This window comes from Homo sapiens, chromosome 1, assembly GCF_000001405.40.
Source record: "Homo sapiens chromosome 1, GRCh38.p14 Primary Assembly".
Lineage (NCBI taxonomy): Eukaryota > Metazoa > Chordata > Mammalia > Primates > Hominidae > Homo > Homo sapiens.
Genome location: NC_000001.11, coordinates 31,145,814 through 31,158,709, shown reverse-complemented (window position 1 = coordinate 31,158,709; position 12,896 = coordinate 31,145,814). Strand labels below are relative to the sequence as shown.

General features: G+C 48.3%; 1 long non-coding RNA gene across 1 annotated transcript, besides 5 other annotated features; it reads right to left on the bottom strand.

Moving 5' to 3' along the window:
• Positions 2,524 to 3,159: an enhancer, noted in NCBI's record as "H3K27ac hESC enhancer chr1:31628398-31629033 (GRCh37/hg19 assembly coordinates)". NCBI's record gives its function as "activates a minimal SCP1, AML or CMV promoter by ChIP-STARR-seq in primed H9 embryonic stem cells {active_cell/tissue: H9 hESC(primed)}" and the evidence as "EXISTENCE:reporter gene assay evidence [ECO:0000049][PMID:30033119]".
• On the bottom strand, positions 2,576 to 3,664 carry LOC107984935 (uncharacterized). Its single transcript, XR_001737961.2, has 2 exons — positions 3,558 to 3,664; positions 2,576 to 2,985 (listed from the first exon to the last, which is right to left on the bottom strand). It is a non-coding gene; the product is annotated as an uncharacterized LOC107984935 (long non-coding RNA).
• Positions 2,860 to 2,949: an enhancer, noted in NCBI's record as "active region_639". NCBI's record gives its function as "activates an Ori minimal core promoter by ATAC-STARR-seq in GM12878 lymphoblastoid cells {active_cell/tissue: GM12878}" and the evidence as "EXISTENCE:reporter gene assay evidence [ECO:0000049][PMID:35858748]".
• Positions 3,120 to 3,709: a silencer, noted in NCBI's record as "silent region_565". NCBI's record gives its function as "represses an Ori minimal core promoter by ATAC-STARR-seq in GM12878 lymphoblastoid cells {active_cell/tissue: GM12878}" and the evidence as "EXISTENCE:reporter gene assay evidence [ECO:0000049][PMID:35858748]".
• Positions 3,797 to 4,433: an enhancer, noted in NCBI's record as "H3K27ac-H3K4me1 hESC enhancer chr1:31627124-31627760 (GRCh37/hg19 assembly coordinates)". NCBI's record gives its function as "activates a minimal SCP1, AML or CMV promoter by ChIP-STARR-seq in primed H9 embryonic stem cells {active_cell/tissue: H9 hESC(primed)}" and the evidence as "EXISTENCE:reporter gene assay evidence [ECO:0000049][PMID:30033119]".
• Positions 4,434 to 5,071: an enhancer, noted in NCBI's record as "H3K27ac-H3K4me1 hESC enhancer chr1:31626486-31627123 (GRCh37/hg19 assembly coordinates)". NCBI's record gives its function as "activates a minimal SCP1, AML or CMV promoter by ChIP-STARR-seq in primed H9 embryonic stem cells {active_cell/tissue: H9 hESC(primed)}" and the evidence as "EXISTENCE:reporter gene assay evidence [ECO:0000049][PMID:30033119]".

Here is a 12,896-nt window from a genome sequence, read left to right as displayed (position 1 = left end):
TGTGTTATGTTTCTGTTACTTGCAACTGCTAGAATCCTGGTTGATACAATGTTTGAAATAAGTCTGATCTAGATCTTAGGTGGACTGGAGACCACAGCCAAATCTTAAATGGTTTAGCATAGAACCTGGCACATAATAATAAGCACTGGCTGCTCAGAAAACACTGCTCCTGTAGTTCCCTGTACTTCTCCACTAAGGTGCATATGATAATTTTTTTTTAGACAGAGTCTCACTCTGTCACCCAGGCTGGAATGCAGTGGCACGAACTCAGCTCACTGCAACCTCCGCCCCCCAGGTTCAAGCGATTCTCCTGCCTCAGCCTCCCGAGTAGCTGGGATTACAGGCACCCACCACTATGCCCAGCTAATTTTTTGTATTTTTTTAGTAGAGACGGGGTTTCGCCATGTTGGCCAGGCTGGTCTCAAGCTCCTGACCTTGTGATTTGCCCGCCTCTGCCTCCCAGAGTGCTGGGATTACAGGCATGAGCCACCGTGCCCAGCCACATATCACAATTTTAATTGAATAACGATTCATATTGTTAATTGTTCAGTCTTTCAACCAGCCTGCAAGCTTATTTGTGTAGGAACTGTAACTTGTTCACTGTATTCCTCAGCACATGACCTAGCAGAGTGGGTGTTTCACCATGTTGGCCAAGCTGGTCTTGAACTCCTGACCTCAGGTGATCCGCCTCCCAAAGTGTTGGGATTACAGGCGTGAGCCACCGCACCCGGCCAAGACAAAATTATGAGAAATTTAGTATAAAAATATCAGTTGGCTTTATTTGCGATTCCACAATTGGGCAGCACCTCATTCTATAAAATAGAATAAGTATGTCAATGATCTGAGCAGAAGAGCTTGGCTTTATAGACACAGAAGGGTTAAAGAAAGCATTGGCAAAGAATAAAGAGTATATTAGGCCCAGAGCCCTGGATCACACCTGTAATCCCAGTGATTCAGGAGGCTGGGATGGGAGGATCCCTTGGGCCAGGAGTTTCAGGCCAGCCTGGCCAACATGGTGATACCCCGTCTCTACAAAAATTTAAAAAATGGGCCAGGTGAGGTGGTTCCCTGGAGGCCGAGGTGAGCGGACCACCTGAGGTGAGGAGTTCCAGACCAGCCTGGCCAAGATGGTGAAACCCTGTCTTTACCAAAAATTCAAAAATTAGGCCAGGCATGGTGGCTCACACCTGTAATCCCAGCACTTTGGGAGGCCGAGGTGGGTGGATCATGAGGTCAGGAGATCAAGACCACCCTGGCTAACATGGTGAAACCCCATCCCTACTAAAAATACAAAAAATTAGCTGGGTGTGGTGGCAGGCACCTGTAGTCCCAGCTACTCGGGAGACGGAGGCAGGAGAATGGCGTGAACCCGGGAGGTGGAACTTGCAGGGAGCCAAGATGGCACCACTGCACTCCAGCCTGGGGACAGAGCGAGACTCTGTCTCAAAAAAAAAAAAATCAAAAATTATCCGGGTGTGGTGGAATTTTTTTTTTTTTTTTAACGGCCAGGTGCAGTGGCTCACGCTTGTAATCCCAGCACTTTGGGAGGCTGAGGCAGGTGGATCACTTGAGGTCAGGAGTTCGAGACCAGCCTGGCCAACATGAAGAGACTGTGTCTCTACTAAAAATACAAAAATTAGCAGGGCATGTGGTGCACGCCTGTTATCCCAGCTACTCAGGAGGATGAGGCACAAGAATCGCTTGAACCTGGGAGACAAGAGGTTGCAGTGAGCTAGGTAGCACCACTGCACTCCAACTCCAGCCTAGGCAACAGAGTGAGACTCCATCTCAAAAAAAAAAAAGGCCAGGTGCAGTGGCTCACACTTGTAATCCTAGCACTTTGGGAGGCCAAGGCAGGCGATCACTTGAGGTCAGGAGTTCGAGACCAGCCTGGCCAACATGGCAAAACCCTGTCTCTATTAAAAATACAAAAAAATTAGCCAGGCGTGGTGGCATATGCCTGTAATCCCAACTACTCGGGAGGCTGAGACAGGAGAATTGCTTGAACCCAGGAGGCGGACGTTGCAGTGAGCCGAGATGGCGCAAGACTCCATCTCAAATAAAAAAAAAAAAATTAAAAATAAGCAGAGCGTGGAGGTGTCCACCTGTGGTCCCAGGTACTCAGGAGGCTGAGGCAGGAGGATCGCTTGAGCCCAGGAAGTCAAAGCTTCAGTGAGCTGGGTTTATGCCACTATGCCACTGCACTCCAGCCTGGGTGACAAAGCTAGACCCTGTACCTTAGAAAAAAGAAAAATTTTTAAAAAAGGCCAGACACAGTGGGTTATGCCCGTAATCTTAGCACCTTGTGAGTTCTAAGCCGGTGGACCACTTGAGCTCAGGAGTTCGAGACCAGCCTGGCCAAAATGGTGAAACCCTGTCTCTACTTAAAAAAAAAAAAAAAATTAGCTGGGCATGGTGGTGTGCGCCTGTGATCCCACTTACTTGGGAGGCTGAGGCAGGAGAATCGCTTGAACCCGGGAAGCAGAGGTTGCAGTGAGCCGAGATTGCACCACTGCACTCCAGTCTGGGCGACAGAGCGAGACTCTATCTCAAAAAAAAAAAAAAGAGTATATAGTTATTTTTCAAAGTTACTTTTACTTTTCTTGTAAGGCAGGACAGACCAATAGAATAATAACCAAGTGGTTACTATCAGGTTCTTTCAAGCCGCCTTTTTTTGCGTAGGATTAAAGCAGGGAAATGTGATGTTGATTGAGGATTTAAACCGGCCTGTTTGGGAAATTGGCTGTTGTCTCTTGATTTCTCCCCAGGTTAGATGGCAACTCAGTTTCCATTTGGTAATGTGGAACTTTAGCATGGGTGACTCTTTTGATTTTTAGTCTGGTCGGCTGGGGCCTGGTGCAGAAACTTAGTCCAAAACAGTGGCCTCCTATAATGTTTATTTAACGGTAGGAAACACATGTTAGTTAAGGTGATGGTGAAGCCTTCCTCTTCACTTCCATTCTCTCAACCCACTCTCCCAGGGCCCTGCAAAACAAGAAGGGCCATCGTCATTTCACAGAAGCGGAAACAAGACCCACGCAGGGAAGGACTTGCTCCAGGGCTCGGCGGGGTGCCGCACAGCCTGGGACCTGCGGGTTCTCAGGACAGACGTGTGGCGGGGCCAACAGTGCGGCGCTCAGGGATAGTGGGGCGCGGCCCAAAGCGGGTGGAGCGCGGCCCAAAGCGGGTGGGGCGCGCAGACTCCACGTGGCCCCGGCGCCGCCCTCTGCGCCCCCTCCCGGCCTCTCCCGGGCCACCCGCGGATTCCCCCAGAGAGGATCGCGCCCTGAACCCGCCGCCCCCGGCTCCTGAGGCCAGGCCTCGCCTCCATTCCTGCCCTGCGCCCTCCCCCTCTCCGGGGCCAGGGGGCCCTCTAAGCTTCCGGGTCTCCAGCCCCCAAAAGGGCCCCGCTCTAGCGGCGACTCCCCGCCCGCCTCTCCCGGGACTCGGGTCCCGCCTCCAGCACCCACTTTAGCCTCCCCCAGATAAGTCCCGCCAGACCCCCACACCCCCAACCCCCACACCCCCAGCCCCTTCCCAACTCCCCTCGTCCCCACCTCCGGCCCCGCGCCCGCGCCCGCGCCCGATCCTTCACGGACTCGTTCCGAAGATCCAGCCTCGCCCTGCCCCGCCCAGGGCCCGGCCGCTCCCCGCCCTCGTCCCCCGGCCCGGGCTCCGCCCCTCCCTCGACTCCGGCCCCGCCCTCCCCCCCGCTCCCTCCGGTCCCCGGATCGGGCCCCGCCCCCGCCCCCGCCCCAAGGACTCTCTTTGTTCCGGAGTCAACCGGCCTCGGTCCTGGGATCGCTGATTCCACGGAGGAGAGCCATACCTGGGCGTCTCCACCCCCCACCCCACTGTCTCTGGAGACCAAGGCCGGCGCCGGGGGAGGCGGGTGTGCGGGCGCGCGAGCCGAGCCCTTTGTTCAGGAGAACATTCCTCAGCGCCAGCCTCCCCACCTGGAGAGCCTGTGGTTCCTGTTTCAGGCTTTGCCTTGGAGAAACTCTCGCCGAGTATGCAGCTCTCAAGCCTGGCTTCTGGCGCATCCTACTTCATGGCCTTCAACGGGTCCTTTGACCTCCCTGAACCTCAATTTTCTCACTTGTAGAATGGGAACCAAAATTCTGACGTCGAATGATCGCTGTGAAATTAAATTAAATGCCAAAACACAAATGTAGAGTATCTGCAGGCATAAGGTGAATGTTAGATACTTGCGTTTGGAAGACCTTCACCGAAAGAAGCTAACATTTTTGTATTGAGTTCACCCTACTCCCCCATCCCGCTTTGTATGGGCAATTTGTAGTCCTCCCAAATCTTTGAAATCTCACTTTCTTAGTAAAGACTTTCCCTGATTTCTGGGGCACACCCTCATGGAGTCACCCTCTGGCATATTTCCATAGCATGCTGTAACGTCTATTAAAATATTTGCAGTTACTTTTTTTTTAATTGAGACTTAATTTGCATTCAGCGAAATACACACAACTTGGCAGGGCGCGGTGGCTCGCGCCTGTAATCCCAGCACTTCGGGAGGCCGAGGCGGGCAGATCACCTGAGGTCAGGAGTTTTGAGACCAGCCTGGCCAACATGGCGAAACCCCATCTTTACTAAAAATACAAAAATTAGCCGGGCCTGGTGGTGCGTACCTCTAATCCCAGCTACTCAGGAGGCTGAGACAGGAGAATCACTTGAATCCAGGAGACGGAGGTTGCAATGAGCCGAGATTGGGCCATTGCACTCCAGCCTGGACGACAGAGCAAGACTCTGTCTCACAAAAAAAAAAAAAGAAAAGAAAGAAAAAAAGAAACTGCCAAACAGTCCTCTCAAGTTATATAGTTATATCCTTTTACATTCCATTCTTTACATGCGGTTTTTTTTTTTTGTTTTTTTTTTTTTTTTTTGAGACAAGGCCTCACTCTGTCACCCAGGCTGGAGTGCAGTGGTGTGATCATAGTGATCATAGCTCAGCAGCCTCGACCTCCCGTGCTCAAGCCATCCTCCCGCCTCAGCCTCCCAAAGTACTGGGATTACTAGCTTGAGACTCTTTGCCCAGCCCCATTTTCCATTCTCACCAGCAGTTATAAGCATTCCAGTTGCTCCACATCCTCTTGAGCATTTGACATTGCCAAACATTTTACTTTTAGCCATTGGAATGGGTGTAGTGTATCTCATTATGACATTACTTTTTAAAAATGAGTAATACAAGTATTCAGTTCTAAAGGTACAAAAGCCTATTAGTCTGTTTAATTTTTCTCCCTGAAAAGTATGTTTCATGAGTGGCTTGTGTCTCCATTTACACTGACATTTCTTTTTGACTATCTGTCTTTTTTCCACTAGAATATAAGCCCCAGGAGGAGAGGGACTGCCTATGGTGATGATAGCTGTCATCTCAGCTCCTTTCTAAAGCTAGTAAAAGCCTAATAAATATTGGTGAATGAATGCCCAGCACTATTCTTCTAGACAAGTCGCATAATCTATTACATTATCACATTTTGATTCAAGAGAGTAGCAGATTCCTTTGGGACTAAGTATGGAACTGAGTGATATCAATACAAAGTTGTGGCCGGGTGCGGTGGCTCACACCTGTAATCCCAGCACTTTAGGAGGCCGAGGTGGGTGGATCACGAGGTCAGGAGATTGAGATGAGCCTGGCCAACATTATGAAACCCCATCTCTACTAAAAATACAAAAATTAGCTGGGCGTGGTGGTGTGTGCCTGTAATCCCAGCTACTCCGGAGGCTGAGGCAGGAGGATCGCTTGAACTAGGGAGTCAGAGGTTGTGGTGAGCTGAGATCGTGCCACTGCACTCCAGCCTGGCGACAGAGCAAGACTCTGTTTCAAAAAAAAAAAAATACAAAGTTGTAAAATGAATGAATGTTGATGAAGGAGCTCTCGGGGTGTTCCTGCATGCAGTGCAAGCTGGCTTTTTGAAAACAACATCTATATGTTAAGTGCTATGCAAACTTTGAAAATAAACATCTGTTACTTCTGCTGCCCAGCATTACTTCACCCTTCTAGTAACAGGACACGAATTTTTCTCTGGGAAATTGTCCTCCTCCACTCAGTCCACACCTCCATCAGCTTCAGGGCATGTGACTCAACCCCAACTAATCAGAGCATCTCAGCCCCTTGACAACTGTGATTGGTTCAGGGATGTGCCCACCCAATTTGGGCCAATGAAAGCCAGCCCTGTCTTGTTGGGCAAGAAAGCTCTTTTTCCTGCAGGACTTGCAATTGTGGTGATGAAAGACTAGGAGAAATGAGGTCAAGGGGAATCGAGCTATTAATGAAGTGATGGAGGGAACATCCCTGGTATTAGGAAGAACAGGAAGAAGGCCACTGCAGTACAGGGAAAAAGGAGAGAGGTAGAGGATGAGAGGATGAGTTCAGGGGCAGGCAGAGGCCAGATCTTTTTTTTTTTTCAGACAGAGTCTTGCTCTGTTCCCCACGCTGGCTTGCAGTGGCGCGATCTCAGCTCACTGCAACCTCCGCCTCCTGGGTTCAAGCGTTTCTCCTGCCTCAGTCTCCCGAGTAGCTGGGATTACAGGCATGTGCCACCATGCCCAGGTAGTTTTTGTATTTTTAGTAGAAACGGGGTTTTGCCATGGTGGCCAGACTGGTCTTAAAATCCTAGAGAGGCCAGATTTTGAGGGGCCTCAAGGAAGATCCTCAAGGATCATGGGAAGGATTTGGAGTTTACCTTTTTTTTTTTTTTTTTTTGAGACAGAGTCTTGCTCTGTCACCCAGGCTGGAGTGCAGTGACGCGATCTCAGCTCACAGCAACCTTCACCTTGTAGCTCACTTGCAAGCAAAGTTGCAAGCTCACTGCAACCTGGGCTCAAGCAATTGAGCCCGAGCAGCTAGGATTACAGGTGCCTGCCACCACGCCCGGCTAATTTTTATATTTTTAGTAGAGACAGGGTTTCACCATGTTGGCCAGGCTGGTCTCAAACTCCTGACCTCAAGTGATCCACCTGCCTTGGCCTCCCAAAGTGCTGGGATTACAGGAGTGAGCCACGGCACCCAGCCTGGAGTTTACCTTGAGAAGCTATTAGAAGAATTTGAGCAGAAGAGTCAATGATCTGATTAAATTTTTTTTGCGACCAAGTCTTGCTTTGTCACTCAGGCTGGAGTGCAGTGACACAGTCATTGCTCACTACTGCAACCTCAACCTCTTAGGCTCAAGGGATTCTACTGCCTCAGCCTCCTGAGTGGCTGAGACCATGGGTACGTGTCACCATGCTCAGCTAATTTTTAAAAATTTTTTTGTAGAGATAGGGACTTGATACATTATTCAGGTTGGTCTTCAACTCTCCTATCTCTGCCTCTCGAAGTGCTGGGATTACAGGTGTGAACTACTGCACTGGTCAAAAAGTATTTCAGTGACATATCAATACAGGAAAACACATAGCTTGTAGCTCATCCTTTAAAACCAGAATAGCCAAGTGAAAAGTCAGTACAGCTTCTTATTTTTACTTTAAAAAAGACATCAGCCCAGGAGCAGTGGCTCACGCCTGTAATCCCAGCACTTTCAGAGGCCAAGACGGGCAAATCACCTGAGGTCAGGAGTTCCAAACCAGCCTGGCCAACATGGCAAAAACCCGTCTCTACTGAAAAAAAAAAATTAGCTGGGCATGGTGGCAGACGCCTGCAATCCCAGCCACTCGGGAGGCTGAGGCAGGAGAATCACTTGAACCCAGGAGACGGAGGTTGCAGTGAGCCGAGATCATGCCACTGCACTCTAGCCTGGGCAAAAGAGAGAGACCCTATCTCAAAAAAAAAAAAAAATTCAAAGGTACGCAGTGGGAATTGAACTACTATGTTTTTTCTTCTTCCTAGAGATGTGACATACATGTTTTCTGGTAAGTAACATTCTACCAAATGTTGTCTTAAACCAAAGCAGAGAGATGACCAGTGAAGCTTCTTACTACCCCCTACTTACTAAGGTAGGAGGATTGCTTGAGCCCAAAAGTTCAAGGCTGCAGTGAGCAGAGATGGTGCCACTGCACTCCAGCCTGTCCATCACAGTGAGACCCTGTCTCAGAAAAAACACAGGATACTTTTTAGGCTATTTCTAGAACACAGTATACATGCATTGGTGCCCAGTAAAATAGGAACCACCACCAATGTAGAAGGTATTTTTGCCTTCATAACACTAACAACTAAAAAGCACAGGGCATATGATACTTTGATTTTTTTTTTTGAGACAGAGTCTCGTTTTGTCACCCAGGCTGGAGTACAGTGGTGCGATCTCGGCTCACTGCAACCTCTGCCTCCCAGGTTCAAGCGATTCTCTGCCTCAGCCTCCAGCGTAGCTGGGACTACAGGCGCACACCACCACGCCTGGCTAATCTTTGTCTTTTTAGTAGAGACAGGGTTTCGCCATCTTGGCCAGTCTGGTCTCGAACTCCTGACCTTGTGATCTGCCCACCTGGGCCTCCCAAAGTGGTAGGATTACAGGTGTGAGCCACTGCGCCCAGCCTTTTTGTTTGTTTTTTTGTTTGTTTTGTTAGACGTAGTTTCCCTCTTGTTGCCCAGGCTGGAGTGCAATGGCATGATCTCAGCTCACTGCAACCTCCGCCTCCTGGGTTCAGGTGATACCCCTGCCTCAGCCTCCCAAGTAGCTGGGATTACAGGCATGTGCCACCACACCCGGCTAATTTTGTATGTTTAGTAGAGACAGGGTTTCTCCATGTTGGTCAGGCTGGTCTTAAACTCCCAACCTCAGATGATCCACCCGTCTCGGCCTCCCAAAGTGCTGGGATTACAGGCGTGAGCCACTGCACCCAGCCTGATATTTTGATCTTTAAGTGGGTAATCATGGGTGTTTCCAGATTATATCCACTAGGTTAGCTGGAGTATTCATCTATAATATATATTCTCAAATATTATGCTTACAGCCAGATGCTGTGGCTCTTGCCCATAATCCCAGGGTTTTGGGAGACCAAGGCAGGAGGATCACTTGCGACTAGGAGTTCAAAATCAGCCTGTGCAACACAGGGAGACCCCATCTCTATTTATAATTTTTAAAAATTAAAATTAAAAATAATAATAGTTAAAAGAGACTTCTAGGGGTTGGGCGCAGTGGCTCATGCCTGTAATCCCAGCACTTTGGGAGGCCGAAGCAGGTGGATCACCTGAGGTCAGGAGTTCAAGACCAGCCTGGCCAACGTGGTGAAACCTGGTCTCTACTAAAAATACAAAAATTAGCCAGGCATGGTGGCAGGCACCTGTAATCCCAGCTACTTGGGAGGCTGCGGCAGGAGAATTGCTTGAACCCGGGAAACGGAGGTTGCAGTGAGCGGAGATGGTGCCATTGCACTCCAGCCTGGGCAACAAGAGTGAAATTCCATCTCAAAAAAAAAAAAAGAGACTTCTAGAAAGAGTGAGATTACATCAGAACCAGCAGAAAACATAGTGATATAAGGACTGCAAATGTAAAACTAGGAGTGGAGTTTCACATGTAGCTTTTAGGTAAAGGACATCTTTTTCAGTTAATTCCTAAAGACAAGACAAGCTGTGATCATAGGAGATTCAGAAACCTCAAGATGGGAAGCTGGTTTGAGGAACATCCTAGATAAATATAAAAAAACCCCAGTGAGGCCGGGTGTGGTGGCTCAGGCTTGTAATCTCAGCACTTTGGCAGGCCAAGGCAGGAGGATCACCTGAGATCAGGAATTTGAAATCAGCCTGGCCAACATGGTGAAACCCCATCTCTACTAAAAATACAAAAATTAGCCAGGCGTGCTGACAGACGCCTGTAATCCCAGCTACTCTGGAGGCTGAGGTGGGAGAATCACTTGAACCCGGGAGGCAGAGTTTGCAGTGAGCAGAGATCGTGCCACTGCACTCCAGCCTGGGCGACAGAATGAGACTCCATCTCAAAACAAAAAAAATTAATTTCATATAACCTTAGATCAAATAATTCTACTTCTATAAATCTGGCTTACCAGATATACTTGTACATGTACACAAAGATATACAAAGAATATTCATTGCAATCTTGTTTGTTAGAGTACAGACTGGATACAATTAAAATGTTCTTCAATAAGGGAATGCTTAAATAAAGTCAAGCCTATCCATGTAATATAATATTATGCAATCACTGAAAAGAATGAGGATTATCTAAATGTATCGCCATGGTACCATCTTCAGGATGTGAAATAAGGAAAGTAAGAAACAATATGGATAATATGCTACTATTGTTTGTTTTGTTTTTTAGAGAAGATAGGAAATAATATGTACATACTTTTTTTTTCTTTTCTTTCTTTCCTTTTTTTAAGACAAGATGTCTCTGTCACCTAGGCTGGAGTGCAGTGGCACAAACACAGCTCATTTTCCAGGCTCAAGCCTTGACTTTCCAGGCTCAACTTCTCCTCCTACTTCAGCCTCCTGAGTAACTGGGACTAAAGGCTGATACTACCAGGCCCAACTAATTTTTAAATTTTTTATGGAGACGGGATCTCACTATATTGCCCAGGTTGTTTTCAAACTCCTGGGCTCAAGTGATTCTCCTGCCCCAACCTCTCAAAGTGCTGGGATTGCAGGCGTGAGCCACTGTGACCAGCCTACACATAATTTTTTTTTTTTTTTTTTTTTTCAGACAGAGTTTCTCTCTTGTTGCCAAGGCTGGAGTGCATGGTGCAATCTCGGCTCACTGCAACCTCCGCCTCGCGGGTTCAAGCTCTTCTCCTTCTTCAGCCTCCCGAGTAGCTGGGATTACAGGCATGTGCCACCATGCCTGGCTAATTTTGTATTTTTAGTAGAGATGGGGTTTCTCCATGTTGGTCAGGCTGGTCTCAAACTCCCGACCTCAGGTGATCCGCCTGCCCTGGCCTCCCAAAGTGCTAGGATTACAGGTGTGAGCCACCGTGCCCGGCCTCATACATACTTTTACAGGCATAGAATATCTCTGGAAACATAGTCCTTCTGAGGCAAAGCAACAAGGGCTAGGTTTTTTTTTGAGACGGAGTCTTGTTTTGTTGCCAGGCTGGAGTGCAGTGGCGCGATCTCGACTCACTGCAACCTCTGCCTCCCAGGTTCTAAGCAATTCTCTTGCCTCAGCTTCCAGAGTAACTGGGACTACAGGTGTGGACCACAACACCCAGTTAATTTTTTTGTATTTTTAGTAGACACGGGGTTTCACTATGTGGGCCAGGATGGTATTGATCTCTTGACCTCGTGATCCGCTCGCCTCGGCCTCCCAAAGTGCTGGGATTAAAGGTGTGAGCCACTGTGCCTGGCCGCTTAATAGGTAATTTAACATACTACCTATTAATTTTTTTTTCCAACCAGCAGCCCTTGTGGCAGCTCTGCCTATGGCGTAGCCGTTTTTTTTGTTTTTTTGTTTTGAGACGGAGTCGCTCTGTTGCCCAGGTTGGAGTGCAATGGCGCCATCTCAGCTCACTGCAATCTCCACCTCCCGGGTTCAAGTGATTCTCCTGCTGCAGCCTCCTAAGTAGGTGGCATTACAGGCACGTGCCACCGTGCCTGGCCAATTTTTGTATTTTTAGTAGAGACGGGGTTTCACCATGTTGGTCAGGCTGGTCTCGAACTCCTGATCTCGTGATCCACCCGCCTCGGCCTCCCAAAGTGGAGACTGTTGATGCTCAATCCAGATTCCCTTGGATCTCTTCTTATCATTTCTGTGTGCTCGTTTCCTAGTTTCAGAGCTGGTGCCTTAGTTTCCAGTGGATCACGTGGACCTTGTTCAGAAGACTGTTCAGCTACTGGAGCTACCCTGTCTTGGCAATAGTACTTGGAAGTACCTGGAAATTTTGCTCTCTCCTCCTCCCCACGTCCTGCCCTCTGGACATGCTTTGGCCAATGATTGAGCAGAATAGAAATGAACACCAGCACTCTTACCTCAGGACAGGCAGTAGTTCCCCCGGCCCCGCCACCCAACCTGGAATTGCCAGGTCGCGCCAGGCTGGCAATGCACCCCTCTGGGAATTTTGTCTGAAATCACACCCTTGTTTGTCTTCTTCCCCTTCACCTTCCTGCTTTCCCACTGCCTTACCAGTTTCTCCATAGAGCCCTCCTTAATTAAGCACTCGTGCAAGAATTCCCATGTTGGGGTCTGCTTTTGAAAAACCAACCTGTGGGCCAGGCGTGGCAGCTCACGCCAGTAATCCCAGCACTTTGGGAGGCTGAGGCAGGTGGATCACCTGAGCTCAGGAGTTCAAGACCAGCCTGGCCAACATGGTGAAACCCCATCTCTACTAAAAATACAAAAAAATTAGTTGGGCGTGGTAGTGGACGCCTGTAATTCCAGCTACTTGGGAGGTTACAGCAGGAGAATCACTTGAACCCGGGAGGCAGAGTTTGCAATGAGCTGAGATCGTGCTACTGCACTCCAGCCTGGGCAACAAGAGCAAAACCCTGTTTCAAAAAAAAAAAAACAAACAAAAGAAAAATGAAAAAGAAAAACCAATCTATTTGTTTATTTGCTTTCATTAAAACAGAATTTATGTATTTATTTGGTCATTTATTTAATTAGGCAAGTAATACAGGCATTTACTATCATTGCAAAATCCAAGCAAAATTCAGCACAAAGCAATGTTAAATTTCACAAATTCCAAGTCCTCTGCTCCTCAAGAGGGTAAATTGTGTTATTAGTTATCTGTATGTCCTTTTAGACCTTTGACTGTGTGTTTTCACTCAGACCTGTATTTTGTTTGGTTGTATTTTCATAACTAGGATAGCTCTGTTTCATTTGGCAACCAGCTTCTTTTCTTTGAGAGTCTGTCTTGAGTGTTTTTCCATGTCAGCACATATGGACCTGCCTCCAGGGTGACCTTCCTAAACTGTTTGTGACATCGGGCTGCTCCCCTCCTTAAAGGCCTTGAAGTCGAGAAAAGAAAAATGCACAGAGCAGCCTGAGCTCAGTGAGATATGCAAA